Source organism: Homo sapiens, chromosome 22 (genome assembly GCF_000001405.40).
Source record: "Homo sapiens chromosome 22, GRCh38.p14 Primary Assembly".
Lineage (NCBI taxonomy): Eukaryota > Metazoa > Chordata > Mammalia > Primates > Hominidae > Homo > Homo sapiens.
In genome coordinates this window covers 17,993,515-18,016,270 of record NC_000022.11, presented here as the reverse complement: position 1 = coordinate 18,016,270, position 22,756 = coordinate 17,993,515, and the positions used below count along the sequence as shown (strand labels likewise).

The 22,756-nt window shown below is 48.3% G+C and overlaps 1 protein-coding gene across 1 annotated transcript in view, besides 8 other annotated features; it reads left to right on the top strand.

Annotated features, from left to right (window-relative positions):
- MICAL3 (microtubule associated monooxygenase, calponin and LIM domain containing 3) overlaps window positions 1–22,756 on the top strand; it is a 236,913-nt gene that overhangs the window by 8,291 nt on the left and 205,866 nt on the right. The gene's annotated exons all lie outside the window — the stretch shown is intronic.
- Window positions 14,084–14,780: an enhancer, noted in NCBI's record as "H3K27ac hESC enhancer chr22:18484257-18484953 (GRCh37/hg19 assembly coordinates)". NCBI's record gives its function as "activates a minimal SCP1, AML or CMV promoter by ChIP-STARR-seq in naive and primed H9 embryonic stem cells {active_cell/tissue: H9 hESC(naive and primed)}" and the evidence as "EXISTENCE:reporter gene assay evidence [ECO:0000049][PMID:30033119]".
- Window positions 14,084–15,095: a biological region, named in NCBI's record as "H3K27ac hESC enhancer GRCh37_chr22:18484257-18484953".
- Window positions 14,716–15,095: a silencer, noted in NCBI's record as "silent region_13445". NCBI's record gives its function as "represses an Ori minimal core promoter by ATAC-STARR-seq in GM12878 lymphoblastoid cells {active_cell/tissue: GM12878}" and the evidence as "EXISTENCE:reporter gene assay evidence [ECO:0000049][PMID:35858748]".
- Window positions 15,106–15,295: a silencer, noted in NCBI's record as "silent region_13444". NCBI's record gives its function as "represses an Ori minimal core promoter by ATAC-STARR-seq in GM12878 lymphoblastoid cells {active_cell/tissue: GM12878}" and the evidence as "EXISTENCE:reporter gene assay evidence [ECO:0000049][PMID:35858748]".
- Window positions 15,426–15,535: a silencer, noted in NCBI's record as "silent region_13443". NCBI's record gives its function as "represses an Ori minimal core promoter by ATAC-STARR-seq in GM12878 lymphoblastoid cells {active_cell/tissue: GM12878}" and the evidence as "EXISTENCE:reporter gene assay evidence [ECO:0000049][PMID:35858748]".
- Window positions 19,631–19,830: an enhancer, noted in NCBI's record as "active region_18644". NCBI's record gives its function as "activates an Ori minimal core promoter by ATAC-STARR-seq in GM12878 lymphoblastoid cells {active_cell/tissue: GM12878}" and the evidence as "EXISTENCE:reporter gene assay evidence [ECO:0000049][PMID:35858748]".
- Window positions 21,422–21,922: an enhancer, noted in NCBI's record as "H3K4me1 hESC enhancer chr22:18477115-18477615 (GRCh37/hg19 assembly coordinates)". NCBI's record gives its function as "activates a minimal SCP1, AML or CMV promoter by ChIP-STARR-seq in primed H9 embryonic stem cells {active_cell/tissue: H9 hESC(primed)}" and the evidence as "EXISTENCE:reporter gene assay evidence [ECO:0000049][PMID:30033119]".
- Window positions 21,923–22,423: an enhancer, noted in NCBI's record as "H3K4me1 hESC enhancer chr22:18476614-18477114 (GRCh37/hg19 assembly coordinates)". NCBI's record gives its function as "activates a minimal SCP1, AML or CMV promoter by ChIP-STARR-seq in primed H9 embryonic stem cells {active_cell/tissue: H9 hESC(primed)}" and the evidence as "EXISTENCE:reporter gene assay evidence [ECO:0000049][PMID:30033119]".

Here is a 22,756-nt window from a genome sequence, read left to right as displayed (position 1 = left end):
ACTGTTGATAGCAATCAAAAGTGCAAATTACAACACCATTATACTGTTATGCTTCTTGCTAATGGTTAATAATTTTTCAAAACCGCAACATAATGCTATTGAGGTTACAGTAAAATTCCATATTTATTGTGGGTTGCATTATAAATTGATAACATTTGTGGGGAATGCAACATGATAATATATGGGAAAAGCCATAAAATTACTACCACTATATAGGAAAAGCCATATAATTACCAGACCCAGGAATTTATCCCAATAAAGTTAGTTAACAAAGGTTTTTTAAATTTCAGATGCATAAAAAATACCCTCTGTTGTGTTGGTTATAATAGAAATAAGTAGAAATCACTGAAATGTCTAATATTATAGGGACAGTTTAAAATTTTGTTGGTACATTATACAATGGAATATCTTGCATTCACAACCAAAGCCTAAATCAAGAGGCATGTAGAAAGAAACATGGAAAATACTTTTGATAAAAGGAACAATAGCGAATAGAACATAGCAAGCACATCATGTTCATAACTGTAATAATCTGTGTGCCTGTGCCATAGCTGTGCTGAAGTGATGGATTAGAGATGAGTCTTAGGGTCGCGCGTGGTCGGAGGCCATGACAGGCAGATCACCTGAGGTCAGGAGTTCGAGATCAGCTGGCTAGCATGGTGAAACCCCGTCTCTACTAAAAATACAAAAATTAGCCGAGTGTGCTGGCAGTCACCTGTAATCCCAGCTACTTGGGAGGCAGAGGCAGGAGAATCACTTGAACCCACAAGGCAGAGGTTGCAGTGAGCCAAGATCACACCACTGCACTCCAGAGTGAGACTCCATCTCAAAAAAAAAAAAAAAAAAAAGATGAGTCTTAAATCTTAAATTTGTAAAATTCTCTTGCTGTTATTATACTGCCTTTTCAATAACAAAGCACCCTCAAATAAAACCTTCGAGATTGGAAGAAATGAATGTAGAAGAAAAGAGAAATCTCAGAAATTATGATATATTACAAAGTAGAATGTTTTTTATTAGCCCCAGAAACCAGAAGAATCCCAAGAGTCACAATTATGTTGAATAAATCCAAGCTGTGTGGGTTTTCTTTCCTCTTGCTGTCATTTAACTTTGGTGAAGTCCTTGCTTACGGCAGGTAGTTTGTGAATATCTACTGACTGCTGAATAAATGCCAAGGCCATCTTTTAGTTGTACTTTTCACAATCACAGGCCTGGGAAAACTTGAATTTATCTCTGAAAAAGCATCAGAAATCTTAGTACAAGCAACACTTTCTCTTTTTTTTTTTTGAGATGGAGTCTCACTCTGTCGCCCAGGCTGGAGTGCAGTAGCGCAATGTCGGCTCACTGCAAGCTTCTGGGTTCATGCCATTCTCCTGCCTCAGCCTCCCGAGTAGCTGGGGCTACAGGCACCCGCCACCACGCCTGGCTAATTTTTTGTATTTTTAGTAGAGATGGGGTTTCACCGTGTTAGCTAGGATGGTCTCGATCTCCTGACCTCGTGCTCCACCTGCCTCAGCCTCCCAAATTGCTGGGATTACAGGCATGAGCCACTGCACCTGGCCTAACACTTTCTCTTTAACTGCTTATTTTTAGGACTTTAATTTTTCCAGCATAGGGAACATATCTTTGGGGACTTTTTCCCCCATTAAGAGAATTGTAAGAATATTTTAAGTAGGTCACAACTCCTAGGGGAAAGAAGGGTATGTAATGAACAGAGCTCTGGGGAAGCTTTTTTAGAAATGTGCCTAATGTAGATGTTTAAGTGATGGAGCTTTTTCTTTTGAAGTGGGAAACAGGGAAGGGGAAGAAGGTAAGAGAAGGAACAAATCCAACAACTTGGAAAAGCTGTTCTCTTCCTTCCAGGCTCTGGTATTTTCAGATCGAATGGCCTAATATACAGTTCCTGGGTTCTCCTGAACCTTTGGTTTGCTACATAACCTCGAGATAAATATTTAGTGTCTTAGTGCCTCATTTTCATCATCCTTCACAGGAATGAAAATTCTTACTCTATTCCTTCTCCCAAGGCATGTTGGATGGGAGAATTCGATTGTATTATGCGCACCCTGTGCTCTTTTTCCTAAGGGCATCTGAATTTTCTGGTAGGACTTCCACAGACAGGAAACCAAGAAATGTGTGTGTGTGTGTGTGTGTGTGTGTCTAAGAGAGGGAGAGAGAGAGGTCGGGCATGATGGCTCATGACTATAATCCCAGAACTTTGGGAGGCTGAGGTGGGTGGACTCCTTGAGGCCAGGAGTTTGATACCAGCCTGGGCAACATGGTAAGACCCCGTTTCTACAAAAACTTTAAAAATTAGGTGTGGTGGCACACACCTATAGTTCCAGCTACTGGGGAGGCTGAGGTGAGAAGATTGCTTGAGCCCAGGAGTTCAAGGGTACAGTGAGCTGTTATTGTACCACTGCATGCCAGCCTGGGCAACATAGCAAGACCTTGTTTCTCTTTTTAAAAAAATAGAGGGGGAGGGAGATAGAGAGATTGTATTTGGATCAACTCAGAAGCAGTAATCTTTGGACTAAAAGTGCCAATTGCTTTAATTTACTATGCAGATAAAATAATTTTCATTCTTAGGGACAGGCATTTCTGTTTACTAAGCACATACCCTAGGCCATGTGCTTTCCTATGCGTCACCTCCATCCACCCTCAACAGCTCTGTGGCTTCGGCATTGCTACACCCATTGTGCATTTTTATGTGGGAAGTGGGGATTTGAAGTCATTTTTCTCTCCCAAGAAAACCCATGCTCTTGTCATGACCCCACATCAGACAGACTTGGGTTCAGATTCTGACTGTGACACTCATTAGCTGTGCCACCTTGGGCACATCTTTTAACTTCTCTGAAGCTCAGCTACCTGTACTAAAACAGGAGTAATGACAGAAAAATGAGGTTATTAAGAGAATTAGAGAGTACACCTCTAGGGCTTTCTGATTGTAAACAACAGCAATATGCTCTAGGGCTAACTTTGGAGAAGGATGGAAGACATTTATTAGAAGGATATGAATTAGCTCATATAACTGAATGCAAAGCAAACAGCCAGGTCTTGGAAAGGATGAGAGCCAGGCCAGCTGAAGAGATCTCAAGAATAGGGAGGTAACTGCCTTCTTTCTTCAGGGGATTCTTGACTGCATGAAGCAGCTCCGGTTGTTTTCAGTTCTGCGGCTCCCTGCTTGACACTCAACTTCCAGGAAGAGAGGTCAGACTAGATGAGGCTGGACCATGTGCTGCCTTCCTCATGGATGGAGAGCAAGGTGCCTCCATCCCCATGCCCACCAGACCTGCATGCAGTGGGGGAAAGGTAGTTTCCACAATAGAAGCTAAGATGTAGGCACTGTTACCAAGCAAGGGGGTCTGAATGCTGGGCAGGCTAAAGCCACAGTTACCACCGTGGAGCTGATGCAGTCAGACATCCCAGCCCAGGACCTGGTACAAGGGAGTGGCTCCATAAATGCTTGGTTTTGCTGGTAGTGTTTTCACCTGACCTCCTGCAAGGCAGCAATTCCAGACCAGTAAATCACCATGTAACAGTACATCTAGAAATCCTAGCTCAGCATTCTTCGTAGGCGTGTCATGTTGTGATACACACAGAAGATGGTATTTGAGCAGCAAATATCTGAGGTAAACTGACAAGGTGCTCCTGCAGGAGGAGACTGGCTGGGAGGCTCTGGCCGCCCCGGCCCTATCTGGCAGCCCTGGGAGCTGAGGGAATCAATATGGCACTTATGGGCAATGCACCCGTGAAGAAGCCCAATTAGATGATGGAACTTCAGGCCCCCCGCCCACCACTATCGCCTTGGTCTCAGCACTGTCTGGCCCTCCCTTACCCCTCCAAAAGTTTGAAAGAGGGTCCCTCCCCATGAGGGCCGAGGCCTGAGGCCCAGTAGAGTCAACAGTGGTACCTCTGCCTTTCCCCACTGATGACTGCCAGCTGCCAGCTGTCCACTCGCTCCTCAGGGCCTTCATTGTCAGGAAGTGAAGCTTTTCAGGAAACAAAAAGTAACTTCTCTTCTTATTTATTAATTTTTTTTGAGTCAGAGCCTTGCTTTGTCGCCCAGGATTGAGTGCAGTGGCACAATCTCTGCTCACTGCAAACTTCGTCTCCCAAGTTCAAGTGATTCTTCTGCCTCAGCCTCCTGAGAAGCTGGGATTATAGGCTCCCGCCACCATACCTGGCTAATTTTTCTATTTTTAGTAGAGACGGGGTTTCACCCTGTTGCCCAGGCTGGTCTTGAACTCCTGACCTCAGGTGATCTGCCCACCTTGGCCTTTCAAAGTGCTAGGATTACAGGTGTGAGCCACCAGACCCTGCTCTAAGTTCTTTTTTAAAAAATTTTTTATTATTTATTTATTTTATTATTATTATTATTTTTTGAGACAGAGTCTCGCTCCGTCGCCCAGGCTGGAGTGCAGTGGTGCGATCTCGGCTCACTGCAAGCTCCACCTCCCAGGTTCACGCCATTCTCCTGCCTCAGCCTCCCAAGTAGCTGGGACTAGAGGCACCCACCACCACACCCAGCTAATTTTTTTTTTGTATATTTAATTAGTATATTTACTATAATATAGTAATATTTTTACCGTGTTAGCCAGGATGGTCTCGATCTCCTGACCTCGTGATCTGCCTGCCTTGGCCTCCCAAAGTGCTGGGATTACAGGTGTGAGCCACCGCGCCTGGCCTTTATTTATATATATATTTTTAGACGGAGTCTCACTCTTGTTGCCCAGGCTGGAGTGCAATGGCGTGATCTCGGCTCACTGCAAGTGATCTCGGCTCACCGCAACCTCCGCCTCCTGGGAGGTTCAAGCCATTCTCCTGCCTCAGCCTCCCGAGTAGCTGGGATTACAGGCGTGTGCCACCATGCCTGGCTAGTTTTGTATTTTTTAGTAGAGATGGGGTTTCACCACGTTGATCAGGCTGGTCTCGAACTCCGACCTCAGGTGATCCGCCTTCCTAGGCCTCCCAAAGTGCTGGGATTACAGGCATGAGCCACTGCGCCCAGCCAGCTTCTCTTCTTGATAAGGCTGGGAACATCTGGCCCAAGGGGCCTAGATGATTTTAGAGCATTTATCTCTCTGCCTACTTGTCAATGATGGCATTGATTATGAAAATCAATGATTGTGGTGTGATACAGTCCCTGGAGGCCGAGCTGCAATTGCTGGTGCTCACATGGGGGTTTCCAAGCAGGGCCAAAAGCAGCACTGCAGGCCTGTGATCGCTGAGGCTGCCAGAGCACAGAGGAGACATTCAGTCTCAAAGAGATATGCAGGTTCTTCTCAATCGCTTTTCTTTTCTTCCTGTTTGTTTTTTCTTTTTGTTGCCAGGGAAGGGCTGCTATTTTACAATTGTGTTTATTTTTTCCCCATTACAAAAGTATGGGGAAAGGCATACCCCATTCTCTTCCCAAATGAAAAAGTACAAATAAGCAAAATGAATATAATTTTGAAACACCCAACTCCCCACCCATCCCTCTATTCACCTGGCTATGAACATGTTAGTATTTATCCTTCTCAATTCTCCTTCTTTCTAACCCTCCAGGTCTCCACCTCCCGGCAGTGAGGTGCTTTGCCTGAAAATCTCTGGCTCAAGGTGGAAGGAACTCTGCTCCTTTTCTGCCAGTGGGAGCTAAGAAAAGAAAAGGGGAAGCTCACTTCTTAGAATACCTTTTTCATCTCCCCATGAAATCCTACCATTCTTTTGAGGGACCTCTCAAATACCCCCTCCTCTATAGAACGTTCCCTGCTCTCTTAGATGGAAGGCTTCTCAGTCTGAGACAGCACTTTCCACCTGACAAAGACTCTCTCTATCCAAGTCTCACTTTCCCTGCACTATTGTTAGCTCCTTAAGGTCAGACACCATGTCTAATTGTCCTCTGCACAGCTCTCAGCAACCAGACAAGTGCCTTGCCCATCACAGACACCAAGGGATGAATGAAAGAAAAAGACTCAGATGCTTAAATCAAACAGAAGTTCACATGATCTCAAATGGGAGCGAAGAGAAGGATTTGGAGTCTGTCCTGTGCACAGGACAAAGGAAGGCTTGACATCTTTCCCTTCCCTACAAGAGGCTCCTCCCCTCAGGTGCATCTTCTCTGAAATCTGAAAATGCCGATGTGCATGCTGGCGGTTTCAAGTTCATTAGTTCCATTCTGAGGCTTTATCAGGGCCTCTTCTACCGCTATTCCACTTCCTAAATGGGAAGTATCATATGCTTTCTCCCTGCTTCCCTCCCTCCCCTCCCTTCCCTTCCCTCAGTCCTTTCCCTCTGTCATTTTCTGTTTCACAGTTGAAAACAGAGCTGTGTAAAATAAGTCATATTCAGATAGAACCCAATTGGGCTGAATTTGACCACATGTAATTTTGAAGCCAGTGTTTTTTTTTTTTATTATTAGTTTTTTTAAAGACAGGGTCCCACTCTGTTACCCAGACAAGAGTGCAGTTGGCCTCATCATAGCTCGCAGCAGCCTCCACCTCCTGGGCTCAGGCAATCCTCCTGCCTCAGCCTCCTGAGTATCTGGGACTACAGGCATGCACCACCAGGCCCAGCTAAGTTTTGTGTTTTTTATAGAAACAGGCTCTTGCTTTGTTGCCCAGGCTGGTCTGAAACTCCTGGCTTTAGCTGATCCTCCTGCCTCGGCCTCCCAAAATTCTGGGATTACAGGCGTGAGCCACTATGCCTAGCCTACTGCTTTTATCTTTAATAGCAACATGTCTGAGCAGTGGAGGAAGGTAGGACTAGAAAGACTTCCCCTCCTCACTGCAAAAGGAACCAATGACAAGGGCAAGTTTACTTGTTTTAGTTCTGCAGAGGTATAGCATTTACTCCTGTCTAGTGCAGAGCACAGAGCTCTAAGGTCTGTGTTCAAAGAATCAAGTCCTACAGAATGTGTGTGTGTGTGTATTTTAATATATCTTTATATATAATATATATTTTATAAATTTTTCTTAGATGTAGTGAATATGAGAATATAAGTCCAGAAAAACCCTGTTTATAAAATTTGCCGTGTTTCCCAGAGACTTTCAAGAATCCAGGCCAAATTGGCTTAGGGAAGGAGTCTTCTGCGAGTTACAGAAGGACTCTAGAAATCTCTGTTTTGGTGATGATTGTGATGTGCAATTGTAGACTTTATTTTGCAGTGCCTTGGTAACTAGAGATTTCTTCTGCATAGTCCCATCTTGGTTTTGTCTGTTTCCACTGCATAGAATTTCTGGCTACTGCTGAACATACACATGCCAATCAGTTAGGGGAAAAATCACCCAATTTTGAACCATTATATTGTGAGAAACTAATGCAGAAGTAGATTTGCAACTTTGTCAAGTTGCGTTTTAATTTCCCTTTTTTGAAGAGACAGCCTCTCGCTGTGTCGCCCAGGCTGGAGTGTAGTGGTGCTCAGCCTCAAACTCCTCAGCTCAAGTGATCCTCCCACCTTGGCCTCCCAAAGTGCCGGGACTACGGGTGGAGCCACCACACCCAATCTTAATTTCCTTCTTCCTGGCAGGGTGAAAACATGCAAATCAGTCTGGAATTAGTTAAAAAGTAAAAGATATGTAATTTTCTTAAACCTCACTATGAGATATTAGCCTAGAAATAAACCCCAGAACCTAGAATGATGTCTTCGAGCTCTAAGACATCCCAATCCATGGATCTTCTTAGCTTTTCTACAGAAGATTAAGTTGGTTCCAAACCAGTCCCTTCGTGTAGAAGAGGGGCAAGAACATGGAGCCTTTCATGTCTTCAGTAGGTCCACAGGACTATGAATGCAGCCCAGGAATCAATTTGTTCTAAACCACTCTGTTCTTCCTTCTTGACTCTCTCATCCAATGGATAGGATGGGATGGGCTTTTGAGCCAGTCCAGGCATCCTGGGGGCCATTAGACTACACATGGCTTGGGATTTCCCTGGAGATTGCTTAAAGCTGAATGCCCTTGGGGTTCATGATAAACTGAACTGGTGGCAGTCACGGGTGTGCTATTTGGAATGCTTGGAAGGGATGGACTGAGCTCCTATTGCACCATGCTTTTTTTTTCTGAGGTGGAGTTTCGCTCTTTTTACCCAGGCTGGAGTGCAATGGCACGATCTCTGCTACTGCAATCTCCACCTCCTGGGTTCAAGCGATTCTCCTGCCTCAGCCTCCTGAGTAGCTGGGATCACAGGCAGGCTGCCACCATGCCAGGCTAATTTTGTATTTTTAGTATTTTAGTATTTCACCATGTTGGCCAGGCTGGTCTCGAACTCCTGACCTCAAGTGATCCACCTGCTTCAGCCTCCCGAAGTGCTGAGATTACAGGCGGGAACCACCGTACCCAGCCCATCATGCATTTTTTTTTTTTTTTTTTTTTTTTTTTGAGATGGAGTCTCGCTCTGTCGTCCAGGCTGGAGTGCAGTGGTGCGATCTCGGCTCACTGCAAGCTCCACCCCCCGGGTTCACGCCATTCTCCTGCCTCAGCCTCCCGAGTAGCTGTGACTACAGGCACCCGCCACCATGCCCGGCTAATTTTTTGTTAGCCAGGATGGTCCCGATCACCTGACCTCATGATCCACCCGCCTCGGCCTCCCAAAGTGCTGGGATTACAGGCGTGAGCCACAGCACCCGGCCCCATCATGCATTTTTTACTTTGCTAGCCAGTGGTAGATAGCTGATCAAAACTGGTTTAAGTCAAAAACAAAAACAAAACTGAGCATAGTGGCTCAGGCCTGGAATCCTAGCACTTTGGGAGGCTGATGTGGGAGGATCACTTGAGCCCAGGAGTGCAAGGCTGCAGTGAACTATGACTGTGCCACTGCACTCCAGCCTGGAAAATAGAACAAGACCCTGACTCTAAAAAAGAAAAAAAAAACCATCATGTTTTAAGTAATGTAGAATAGCATAGGAAAATTCCTAGCCTATTAAGTAGAAAAGTAGATTGCAAAGCAGTTTGATCAAATTTTGTTAAAAAGATAATACAGAAAAAGAAGATATATGACACATGTACACAGAAAAATACAAGAAAACACATACATCAAAATGGTAACAATGATATGCTGGTGAACGTAATGGGTATTTTTATTTTTTGTACTTTATTTAAAAAATTCTTTTACAATGAACATGTATTACTTTTGAAATCAGAAAATTGGCCGGGCGCGGTGGCTCACGCCTGTAATCCTAGCACTTTGGGAGGCTGAGGAGGGCAGTTCACCTGAGGTCAGGAGTTCAAGACCAGCCTGGCCAACATGGTGAAACCCTGTCTTTACTAAAATACAAAAATTAGCCGGGCATGATGGCGGGTGCCTGTAATCTCAGCTACTCAGTTGGCTGAGACGAGAGAATCGCTTGAACCCAGAAGATGATGGTTGCTGTGAGCAGAGATTGCACCACTGCACTCCAGTCCGGGTGGCTGAGAGGGACTCCGTCTCAAAACAAAAAAAGAAATCAGAATTTTTTTGTGTGTGTGTGTGTGACAGAGTTTCGCTCTTGTTGCCCACGCTGGAGTGCAATGGCACAATCACGGCTCATCACAACCTCCACCTCCCAGGTTCAAGCGATTCTCCTGCCTCAGCCTCCCCAGTAGCTGGGATTATAGGCATACACCACCACGCCTGGCTAATTTTGTATTTTTAGTAGAGACGGGGTTTCTCCATGTTGGTCAGGCTGGTCTCAAACTCCTGACCTCAGGTGATCTGCCCTTCTCGACCTCCCAAACTGCTGAGATTAGAGGCATGAGCCACCGTCACCAGCCCAGAAAATATTTTTTAAATTGAAAATAAGATAGCATATTCCACAAATCTTCTACCGGCTCCATTGCGGATTGAATTAGATGATTCTCCCTATTGTTTACTAAGTGTCCAGTTATTTCTGGGCACTCTCCACCTCCGCAGGACACTGCCCATCTCCCCAACCCAGGGCCATTTCTCAACCTAGTGCTCCTTCTCCTACTAGGGGGGCAGACTTCCCAACGTGAGCACCTACATTTCGCCGTAGATGGGATCCACTTGCACTCTCTGAGGTTCTCAGGCAGATTCCTTCCTTACGGAAGGGGGTCTGATATTTAATCACCCCATGCACTAAGTACACACTTCATGTGCGGATCCATCAGGATAACCCCACACAAGCTGCCAGTTCTTTGCTTGTAGTGGGTGCCCAATAAATGTTTGAATGCATAAAGAAAGCACTCAGATAAGCAGAGACATTTTAGAGCTCTCTGGGGATGAGAAAAGAGAGAGCTATGGGAGTGAGAATTAACTTGATTGACTATGGCTGGACCTGGCAAAGAACAACTCAGAAGTATTGGCCTCACAATCACCTTGTTCAGGCTGCTTAATCAATATTAAAAGTTTGCTGCTCCCACACAATTTTGCTAGGCTCTCCAACCCTGTGAGGATGTCAACAGTTGAAAAAGAAGAAATAATGAGCCCAGCCTGTATTTGCAGGGGAGTGTTAAAACTGCCGGTGGAGCAGGATAGTTTGCTAAACAGCCAGTTGAGAACTTTCCCAAACTGGTCGGCAGCAGCATTGCACACAGAAGTCCCTTCTTCATTGACATGGGGCTAATTCTAGCCACCAGCACTCCAGCGGTACGGGGCAGTTTTGTGGCCTTTTGCTATTGAATCTGCCAGATGTGTCCAAGACACACTCTCATGGGCAGAATATAAACAACAAACCAGTATAAAGAAGTCCACAGTGATCTCACCCTTCATAGAAGTCTTCTTTGACTTGTTTTCTGGCCCCCTGTAAGCACTCCTTGTACCACACTCCCTAAACCCTGTGGCTTAGGTTTTGCTATTTTGTATTTGTTTCCTCCTTCTCTGGTTGTTACATGTAAAAAGGTTGTGTTCACGCAGGGGGCAGGAATTGCAATGGAAAGAATGCAGTGTGGAAAGCCAGGCTCAGTTACTTACCAGCCTTGCTACCTTAGCCAAACGGTCATGCTCTCTGAGCTGTAGTTTCCTTCCTCATCTGTGAATAGACTTCTACCAACTCTCCTCACATGACTGTTTTGAGACTGAAATGATATTATAGGTATAGAAATAAATGTAAACATAATATAAATGTATGAGGCCTGGCGTAGTGGCTCACGCCTGTAACCCCAGCACTTTAGGAAGTCGAGGCAGGTGGATCACCTGAGGTCAGGAGTTCGAGACCAGCCTGGCCAAGATAGCGAAACCCCCATCTCTACTAAAAATATAAAAATTAGCCAAGCGTGGTGGCACGAGCCTGTAATCTCAGCTACTTGGGAGGCTGAGGCATGAGAATCGCTTGAAATCAGGAGGCAGAGGTTGCAGTGAGCCGAGATTGCGCCACTGTACTCCAGCCTGGGTGACAGAGTGTGACTCTGCCTCAAAAAAAATAAAAAAAAACAAAATAAAAATAAAAATAAATAAGTAAATATATGAGATTATCTTTCATCTGGCATGCAGTAGATTCTTAAGAAACTCAAGACAGTATTGCGTTGTGGAGTTATGGTGGGGGCACTAGATGTCAGACCTCTGTGTGCACTCGGGCAGATCAGTTTCACTAAGCTCTTGTGTTTTCCTCAGGAAGGCAAAACGGTACTAAGGCGAATAATAAGGAACATCACAGAATTGATATGAGGGTGAAGTTAAATAATGCGGGCAAAGCACTTCCCAACAGTACCTAGCACATAGTGAGCACTTAATAAATGTAAGCTGTGGCTGCTGCTGCTGTGGCCATCAGGGAGATAGGGAAATATGTCAATAAGAAATGTATATTGGCCGGGCACGGCGGCTCATGCCTATAATCCCAGCACTTTGGGAGGCCGAGGCGGGTGGATCACCTGAGGTTGGGATTTCAAGACCAGCCTGACCAACATGGAGAAACCCCGTCCCTACTAAAAATACAAAATTAGCTGGGCGTGTTGGCGCATGCCTGTAATCCCAGCTACTCGGGAGGCTGAGGCAGGAGAATCGCTTGAACCCAGGAGGCGGAGTTTGTGGTGAGCCGAGATCATGCACTCCAGCCTGGGCAACAAGAACGAAACTCAGTCTCAAAAGAAAAAGAAAAAAAAAAAAAAGAAATGTATATTGGGGCAGAGAGCATGGACAGTTGGGTTATGGCAAGGCACAGAGTAGAAATGGAAGCTCTGTAAGCTAGCAGCTTCTGGCAATCAATCTGGAAGGCTTCATGGAGGGATGCACTTTCCAGAGCTCTTTGGATTATAGTTGGAAGATGAGTTATCTGGAGGTATTAGAAAGGCTATCCCAGGGGCCAGGCGCAGTGGCTCATGCCTGTAATCCCAGCACTCTGGGAGGCCGAGGCAGGCACATCACAGGGTCAGGAGATCGAGACCATCCTGGCCAACATGGCGAAACCCTGTCTCTACTAAAAATACAAAAATTAGCCAGGTGTGGTGGCAGGTATCTGTGGTCCCAGCTACTTGGGAGGCTGAGGCAGGAGAATCAGTTGAACCCGGGAGGCGGAGGTTGCAGTGAGCTGAGATGGCACCACCGCACTCCAGACTTGCAACACAGCGAGACTCCATCTTAAAAAAAAAAAAATAAAGAAAGGGTATCCCAGACTCCCTGCGTGATTGGAAGCTGGTTGAGTGGCAGTGGGGTGACCAGCTGTTGGGAGGTTGAAAAGTTCTGAACTAAAGAAGATGGAGCTGAAGCTTGGTAGCCAAATTGTAAGCCTAGCAGGCTGGTGTAAAGCTCTAAAACAGAGCAGACCCCAAGGAGTGGTTAGAAAGTCTGAAATTTGGCTTGTAGTGTGGATGAAAGCACAATTGGCCATGTGTGGTTGAATGGTTGTCACAGATTGAGTTAGGGACGAGCACTTTCGCAGCTCTAGGGAGGGGTGAGCAGTGGGGTTTGTTGCTGAAGGCAGGAATTGTGGACAGCTCATTGGGTGAATGAATTATTAATCGAAGTTTTGTCTGATTATGAGAAGGAAGGGAGAAGGAAGAGAAAGGGGTGCTTCCTGGAGAAGTAGAAATTATGAACTACTTGGAGGTGGAGGGCCCCACACATAAGAAGAATATTCTTCTCTAAGAGATGAGGGACCCAGAAAGAAGACAGGATTCATCTTTACCAAAGGTGGGGTTGATACTGTCGCTGAAAGTAGGTGTCAGAAAGTCTATCGACTTTCAACTAAAGTTCTTTTTTTTTTTTTTTTGAGATGGAGTCTTGCTCTGTTGCCCAGGCTGGAGTGCAGTGGTGCAATCTTGGCTCACTGAAAGCTCCGCCTCCCGAGTTCACACCATTATCCTGCCTCAGCCTCCTGAGTAGCTGGGACTACAGGCGCCCACCACCACGCCCAGCTAATTTTGTTTTTGTATCTTTAGTAGAGATGGGGTTTCACCGTGTTATCCAGGATGGTCTGGATCTCCTGACCTCGTGATCTGCCTGCCTTGGCCTCCCAAAGTGCTGGGATTATAGGCGTGAGCCACCGCGCCCAGCCTAAAGTTCTTTAAGATAGTGGATAATGCTCAAAGTTGAAGAATATTTGCAGGTATTGCTATTCCTGTGCAAAGGATGATAGGATCACACATGAAGTGTGTGAAGGCCATCAGACACCAAGTGCATTCCAGTATCCTCATTGGACCAGATGATGAAACTGAGGCCGAGGGTTGTACTTACCTGCTCAAGGTCATACAAGATATATTTGGTTCAATTCGCTCTATATTTTCGTTTTCTTTTTTTTAGACAGAGGCTCACTCTGTTGTCCAGGCTGGAGTGCAATGGCACGATCTGGGCTCAGTTCAACCTCCGCCTCCTGGGTTCAAGCGATTCTCCTGCCTCAGCCTCCTAAGTAGCTGAGATTACAGACGCGCGCCACCATGCCTGGCTATTTTTTGTATTTTTAGTAGAGACGGGGTTTCACCATGTTGGTAAGGCCGGCCTCGAGCTCCTGACCTTGTGATCTGCTCGCCTCGGCCTCCCTCCCAAAGTGCTGGGATTACAGGCGTGTGCCACCGCGCCCGCCCTCTGCTCTATATTTTCTCTTAGCGCCCTCCTCCAAAAATTTGAAATTCCCCCTAACCTCTTTGCTTCCCAACTAGAATGAAAATCCTAGTTTCATTTTGCGGCAACTAAGAGCAACAAACAAGTCTCCTTTATTATTATTTTTTCTTTCTTTAGATGGAGTCTCGCTCTGTTGCCCAGGCTGTAGTGCAGTGGCACCATCTCGGCTCACTGCAACTTCCGCCTCCCGGGTTCAAGTGATTCTCCTGCCTCAGCCTCCAGAGTAGCTGGGACTACAGGCCCGTGCAACCACGCCCGGCTAATTTTTGTATTTTCAGTAGAGTCAGGGTTTCATCATGTTGGCCCGGCTGGTCTTGAACTCTTGACCTCAAGTGATCCGCATGCCTCGGCTCCCCAAAGTGTTGGGATTACAGGCGTTAGCCACCGCGCCCGGCCAACAAGTCCCCTTTAAATACATCCTCTCTTCTCTCCGGGGGCAGGCTTTGATATGCCCACCGGGTTTCTCCATTGGCCACTTCATGTGGCTTCTCGCCCCTTCCAAGATTCCCAACCAATCAGTTCTTTCCCGTCTCCCGTTGGGCTTTGAGGAATGTACCATATGGATCCTGCAGGGGGACGGAGAGGACGAAGGGCGTGGCGACAGCTTATTTCTTTGCCTTTTGCACATATCCCGTGAGATTCTGGCAAGACTGAGCGTGCAAGTAGCAATGGAGTCCCTGAGGACGGGGGCCGCTTGCCAGTTTTCGAGGTGTACTGAGATATCTCGCCCCCGAGGCTGGGGTCCCGTGGTCCGGCCCGAGGGCCACAACCCCCGCCCTTCCATGTGCCCGCCCATCCCCCGGCTGCGCCGCTTCTCCGGCTGCTACCTACCGCGCCGGACGCTCGGGCTGCGGAACAGGGCGGCACTGGCCCGCCACAGCGACGCCGGCGCCGAGGGACACCGCAGTATGAGGCAGAGGTAAGAACGGGGCTTCGGGACTCCGACCCGCGCCAACCGTCCCCGGGGAGCCGCATCCTGCTCGCGCCCGAGCTCGGGGTCTCGGGCACCGGGCTGGTTCCGGCGGGCGGTTCTGGAGCGGGTGGCCCCGCGAGCGGACGCGCGCCGAGCCTCCCGCCCGGGCAGTGCCGAAGCCGGGAGCCGCCGCGGCGCGGGCGCCTCCTTCCGGCTGCGCTTATAACCCTGCGTCCGGCCGGCGGGGCGCGAGGAAGCCCCCGCCTCGCGTTCCCGTGTGGTCACCTCCCGCCGGAGGATGCGTGGCCAGGTGCGCCGGCTGGTCCTGAGTTCCGGGGCAGCAGGCGCGGGGAAGCGCGGGGAGGCTGCCCGCTTCAGGCGGGAGGCGGAGGGTGGGGGCTTAGCCCGGCTCTGGGTGCGGGGTCGGGGGGTGCTTTTTGGGGCGGGGGAGGTCTCTGTCTTTACCGGAGTCCGCAGGCTCCGGGCCGAGGCTCCGCCGGGTCCTGCCTCCGCGGCCTGGCCCTCGGGGCCTCCCCGTCCCGCTGCCCCGGCCTGGAGCTAGCGTGCGCCAAGCGTGGGCTCCTGCGACCCTGGCAGGTAGGTGGCCGAGAGGACCCCGGCGCGCCTTTCCGTTTGTGGGGGCGGTGGGCGCGGCCGGGCGATCGCAGCCGCCTTCGCCTCTAGTCTCAGTGATGCCCCTTCCCTGGCTGCCTTCCGAGGGGACCGCGCTTTTGGAGGTCTCCGGGGCACATGGGAAATTCCCAGCTAAGAAACCATCTTGAGGAGCCCTACACGGAACCGGGCTTGCCTGGCCTAGCAGAAAGCCAGCCGCAGCGAGACCCTCCGCCTGGCATGCGGCACTGGTGAGCCGCCACCCCGCTTGCTCAGTAGGTAGCCGGGACGAAGGGGTCTGGCAGGCCCCTCAGGCAAGGCCTCTGTGCCGCATCCCGTTAAGGGGCGGGGACCAGCCCCGTATCTTGGCTGGTCTTCCTGACTCTGAATGCAGAGAAAGTATGTCCAAGAGTTCAAACCACATTTGTGTTCTTTTAATGGTGTTTAATGCAGATGTTAATTGTGATTTATGTGAAACGGGTTGATGTAGAGGAATGAAGGTCAACTGTGGACAGGTGGACAGCTTTTTTTTTTTTTTTCCCCCTAAGCTTGTTTTTAGTGGGATGTGCATGGAGAGGATGACATTTGAATATCAGGCCACCAATGTGTATTTGGTCCCATCTGACACTTTGCTCCATAGACAGTCGTTGTACTCCAGGGATGAGGATGAACTGGGTTTTAAGCTGAGAAAGACATCTTCCTACAGTCGCTGCCGCCTGCGGGAAAGCCCCGCCTTCTGGTTACCTGGCCGCACACAGGCCAGTTCATTGTGGTTACCTTCTCCCGTGAGCACATCTCTGCAGCCCTCTCAGAGGATGCCGTTCATTCCATATTTGATTGCCAGATGTACTTCTCAGGTCAGAAATCCAGCCCCAGATTGTTCAAGTCTTATAGTGAGTTTTTCTTGTGCTCCAGGTTTAGAAGTTTTAAATCTCTTTTATAGTGTATTCAACAGCTTGAGTTAATTTCATAATTATAGGAAAGACATGGTTTGTGTGTTCCTCCTGTAAAGGATACTTTAGAACTCAGACCTGGTTCCTCAGTCAAGGCTGTTTATTTGTGTTTACAGCGCTAACATTTGAAACGTCTTAAACTTGACTGCATATTGTAATTCCTCCCCCCAAACCCCCACCTGGGATGATCCTGTTCCGTGGTGGTTATTCCATGGTGTTACTAGGTGTGGAAGAGAAAATGGGCTTTGGAAATAATGTACGTGAAGAACTTAGCACAGTCCTTGGCACGTAGCAGATGTTCAATAAACATAAAAGTAAATTTTTCCTCTCTTCCTTGGGTTTGAGAGACCTGGGGATGATGATATTGGATGCAGTTTTGGTTGCATGCTCCGTTTTTAAATTAGGGTAATGAGGTCCCCCCCATTCCTCCTCCCACTCAAACTTCCAGCTCTCCAGACATTTCTGTGGTAGATTAAAAATGAAACTCACGTCTTGGTCCTAGAAGTAAAAATAAGGAAAAATTGAGCTCTTCTTCCTGGATCATGTGTTGCCCTTTAAAGGAAGGATGGCACATGCCCTGGAAGAGTGGTACACCATTCAGTACAGAAGAGCAGAGGGTCAAAGGGGACCCTTTCCTGCATCTGTCGAGTAGTCCTGCAGGTGAGGATTTTGGTTGTCGTTGGTTTCACATGTCCAGGTGGAACCAGATGAATTACCTAATTTCTCCTGGCACTGGCTTCTGGGAAGTGGCCCAGATGGTCGAAGCCTGACCATTGGCAGAGTGCTAGCTTTGCTGGGCCGTGCCTCTGAACTGGGATCTGCTAGGAGCAGCCATTTGCCTTCTCCGTCTTGTAGCAGGTTCCATGTGAACAGACGAAAAGGGCATCAAATCTAATGTTCTAGAAAAAATAAGAGCCATCATTGGCTTATTTATGTTCCATAATATTATGGGGCCTGGCATTTTAATAATAATTATGCTCTGGGCCCGGCGCGGTGGCTCACACCTGTAATCCCAGCACTTTGGGAGGCCAGGCGGGCGGATCACGAGGTCAGGAGTTCAAGACCAGCCTGGCCAACGTGGTGAAACCCTGTTTGTACTAAAAATACCAGCTGGGCGTGGTGGTGCGCGCCTGTAATCCCAGCTACTGGGGAGGCTGAGGCAGGAGAATTGCTTAACCGGGAATTGGGAGGTGGAGGTTGCAGTGAGCCAAGATCACGCCACTGCTCTCCAGCCTGGGATACAGAGCGAGACTTCATCTCAAAAAAAAAATAATAATAATAATAATTATTATTATTATTATGCTCTGGATTTACTACTTAGTTGCTTTTTACTTGAGGAAGTGAAAGCTTTTTCATGACCTGTTATCTCATTGATTCTTAATTGTCTCTGAAGTCGTTAAAGTTTAATAGAGTCTATTATTCCCATTTTATAGGCAAAGAAATGGAGGTAACATGATTTGCTTTAAGTTGCAAATGAGTTGGTCCCTGAACTGGGATTTGAATTGGGTTCTTCTTCTTCTTCTTTTTTTGAGACGGAGTCTCTTGCTCTGTCGCGCCCAGTCTGGAGTGCAATGGCGCAGTCTTGGCTCATGCACTCTGCCTCCTGGGTTCGAGCGATTCTTCTGCCTCAGCCTCTCAAGTAGCTGGGACTACAGGCACCTGCCACCACGCCCTGCTAATTTTTTGTATTTTTTAGTAGAGACAGGGTTTCACCGTGTTGGTCAGGCTGGTCTCGAACTCCTGACCTCAGGTGATTCACCCTCCTTGGCCTTCCAAAGTGCTGAGATTACAGGCGTAAGCCACCACACCCGGCCCAGGTTTTCCTTCTTAAGTTTCACTTCACTGAGACCTTTAGGGGGAAAAAATCCACACATCTTTTTCTTTTTTCTTTTCTTTTTTTTTTTTGGAAGCGGAAGGACTTAAAGATACCAGATCATTGTGCTTTTCTGATGACTAGGTAGTGGATGATAGTTAACATTTATTGAGTGTTTATCTGCAGGAATCTGTGCTAGGTGCTGCATAGACATTACCTCATTTATTCCTCACAACAACATTCAAGGTAGAACTTATCATCCCCAGTTTTACGGATGACAAGGTTTTGTGAGGTCCTAGGTCAAGGGAGTGATAGTGAGTGACAAAGCCTTGACTGAAAGCAGGGCTGGGTTCAATCCTGGGCTTTCTGATTCCAGAGTGTGTGCTCCTCCTAACCCGTGTGCTAACGGGCCTTAGGGATGACTAATGGGCAGGCCTGAGAGCCCTGACGCCTGCTGCTGCCACCACCCCAGGTCTGATGGGAGGTGGGGTTGGACGGGCTTTATGTTCTATTGCAGTACAATTTTCACATTCTGGTCTTTTCCTTTGCTAGAAGCATTCATCTAGCCAGGTGGGGGGTCATTACTTTAGAAAAAATAATCAGAGCTGAGAAAACGTCTGCATTTGCAGAGAATGAAGTATTTAATAAGACCAGATGGGCCGGGCGCAGTGGCTCATGCCTGTAATACCAACACTTTGGGAGGTTGAGGTGGGCAGATTGCTTGAGCCCAGTAGTTTGAGAGCAGACTGGGCAACATAGCTAAACCCCATCTCTACAAAAAGTACAAAAATTAGCTGGGCGTGGTGGTGTGTACCTGTGGTCCCAGCTACTCTGGAGGCTGAGGTGGGAGGATTGCCTGCGCTCAGGAGGCCGAGGTTGCAGTGAGCTGAGATCACACCACTGCACTCCAGCACTCCAGCCTGGGTGACAGAGCAAGACTCTGTCTCAAAAAAAAAAAAAAAAAAAAAAAGACTAGATGGGGAGATGAGGGACAGAGAGAATCAAAGAGAATCAAAGTGGTTTGTGGACAGAGGAAATGAGTGATACTCTGACCCAGAGGCCATCTTTAGTGTCCAGGCCATTTTGCTTGAGCTGCTGGTGAAACTGTGAAACTGGAGGCATGGCACTTGGGCTAAAGTCTGTGCGGTGAATAAGGCCCTCAGTTTCTGCTTTAGGTGGCAGAGCTGAAAATCTGATTCCTTTTTGGTCTTTAGCTTCCGGTGTACTTCAATGCAGTACATTGTGGGCGTGGTGGGGATGTGGTTCAGAAATTTACCTAAACTCTGTGGACTTCCCCCTCTCTCCAGCCACGCACTCTGTCATCTTTGGTTCCAGTCTTTAGAATTCAGCTCGGATCCCCTGGGTGATGGGTGGTGTCAGACACTCAGGTGCTTGGATTGCCCCGGTGGAGAGAACAGCATCCTGCCCCCATGGGCTTCAGTTGTACGTGACTTGCTGTTTTCTTGGAGGTGGGCTTTAGTCATCTCTAGCTATAAAGACACAAAAAAACTGGGAAGAATGACCAGGAAACTGTCACCCCAAGCCTTGCAGTTGATTGCATTTTTTTTTTTTTTTCTGAGATGGAGTCTTGCTCTGTGGGCCAGGCTGGAGTGCAGTGGCACGACCTCGGCTCACTGCAAGCTCCGCCTCCCGGGTTCACACCATTCTCCTGCCTCAGCCTCCCGAGTAGCTGGGACTACAGGCACCTGCCACCATGCCCGGCTAATTTTCTGTATTTTTTTTTTAGTAGAGACAAGGTTTCACCGTGTTAGCCAGGATGGTCTCGATCTCCTGACCTTGTGATCCACTGGCCTCGGCCTCCCAAAGTGTTGGGATTACAGGTGTGAGCCACTGTGCCCAGCCTTTTTTTTTTTTTTTTTTTTTTTAAATTGAGACAGCATCTCACTCTGCCACCTAGGCTGGAGTGCAGTGGTGCGATCATGGTTCACTGCAACCTTGACTGCCTGAGTAGTTGAGACTACAGGCGTGCACCACCAAGCCTGGCTAATTTTTAAAATTTTTTGTAGAGATGGGGTTTTGCCACATTGTCCAGGCTGGTCTAGAGCTCCTGGGCTCGAACAATTTGCCTGCCTCAGCCTCTCAAAGTGCTGGGATTACAGGTGTGAGCCACCATGCCTGGCCCCATTGACTTTTTCTCATTGGTGAGTTCAACAGAGGAGAGATGATTGCCGCAGTTTTAAAAAAGAAAAGAGGCCAGGTGTGGTGGGTCATGCCTGTAATCCCAGCCCTTTGAGAGGCCGAGGTGGGCAGATCACCTGAGGTGAGGAGTTCCAGACCAGCCTGGCCAACATGGTGAAACTCTGTCTCTACAAAAAAAATACAAAAAATAGCCAGGTGTGGGTGTTGCACACTTGTATTCCCAGCTACTCAGGAGGATGAGGTAGGTGGATCATTTGAGCCTGGGAGGCCAAGGCTGCAGTGAGCGGAGATCGCACCACTGCATTCCAGCCTTGGTGATAGAGCAAGACCCTACTGTCCCAAAAAAAAAAAAAAAAAAAAAAAAAAAAATTAAAGAAAAGGCTGGGTGCAATGTCTCACGTCTGTAATCCCAGCACTTTGAGAGGCTGGGCCAAGGTAGGAGTATTGCTTGAGGCCAGGAGTTTGAGACCAGCCTGCGCAACATAGTGAGACCCTGTCTCTACAAAAATTTTAAAAATTAGCCGGGCATGGTGGTGTACACCTATAGTCGCAGCTGCTCAGAAGGCTGAGGTGGGAGGATCACTTGAGGCCAGGAGTTTGAGGCTGCAGTGAGCTATAATCACACCACTGCATTCCAGTCTGGGTGACAGAGTGAGACCCTGTCTCTTAAAAGAAAAAGGGAGGACAGAAATCAGATTAAAGAAGAGAGAAGAAGTGAGACTGTTGGCTTATACCTTGATGAAAGGTGGAAGCGGAAGGGCAAGAGCTTCTGCTAAGTAGTGAGGACCTTGGCAAGGACAACAGTATCTTTTTCGTGTTCTGTTAGGCCGTGTCTCTCTAGCGCCCAGCTCAGAGTGCATGTGTGTTATGTGTGAGGGAATCTAGTGAGGAGTCTTCCTGCATTAGGCACGTCTGCAGGTGTCTGTTGAATTGTATATCTGTTGAAGGATTCAGTCTGGTTAACTCTGGCAGGAGATTCGGTCTGGTTAACTCTGGCAGGAGAGGGATGGACAGCACAGCCTTGTGGTTAACTAGTGGCTTTTATTGACTTTTCCTGTGTAAAGGCGAAATAAACCTTAGTGGGTCCCAGGCTTCTCTTCTCTCCTGCCCATGCTTCTTTTTTTTTCTTTTTTTTTTTTGAGACAGAGTCTTACTCTGTGGCCCCGGCTGGAGTGGCCCCAGCTGGAGTGGCATGATCTCGGCTCACTGCAGCCTTGACCTCCTGGGCCAGGCCATCCCCCAACCTCAGCCTCCTGAGTAGCTGGGACTACAGGCCCACACCACCACACCCGACTAATTTTTAAATTTTGTGGAGAGACAAGCTCTCTCTGTGTTGCCCAGTCTGGTCTTGAACTGCTGGGCTCAGGTGATCCCTGCAAAGTGCTGGGATTACAGGCACCCCACTGCACCCAGCCCTCTGTCTCTTTTCTGTTGCCAGTTGAAGTCTGGAGGTAGCATGGGTCCCGGGAGGCCAGTGCCAGTGTTGGAAGCCAAGAGAGGAGGAGCAGCTTGGTCAGGGGGAAGATGCAGAGTGCTCACTCCTGGCACCTGGAGCCCCCAGGGGAATGGCAGCTACCCTTTAGCGTGGACTGTCCCCAGCCCACAGAAAGTCAGCTTACAGAGGTTCTAGCCATATTCCTCCCTCCTCCACCAACAAAGCTCCTTGTTGTGGCTGAGAATTGTCAGGCTGTGATGGGACAGGGACAGGGGTGGGAGAGCAGCACCTGGCGCTGATGAGCACAGCAGCGATGGCAGCATCAGAGATGCTTAGAGACTGTTGGCCATGCCACACTGTCCTGAGTGCCCACGTGTCTTAACGCGCTCAGTCCTCACCACAGCGGACAGACGGGGTGCTGTTATGATCCCTGCTTTTCACACTAGGAAGTGGGGCACAGAGGGCTAAAACAAGTGGTGGCGTCAGGATTTAGATGAAGGCATTGGGTTTTGGACTTGTGGTGTCACAGACCAGTTGAGGGCAACTGACTTGGGCATATTCCACGGGGTTACCTCCGTCCTGGGGGGTCACCGCTTCCTGTCTTCAGACCCCTCCTCCATATTTCCCTCTCTTCACTCTTGAGTTCTCTCTCTGAAGTGCCAGGAGAGGTGCATTGAGGTTAGTTGGCATATTCCTTGAAATATTCCTGGCCTGCTTCTCAGGGGGCAGAGTCAGGAGGTAATTCTGAAGCACTGGGAGGAGAGTGTGGGCGCAGGGGGGCTTCCCGGGGGGCACTTAAGACACTGTGTGTTCAGGAACCTGGGGGCTGTGCCTTGGGAATCCAGAGAGTGCTGAGGGCTGCCCTGCTCCTGGAAAAGATGAAGAAGCCCTTCTCTTCCTTCTGATTCCCA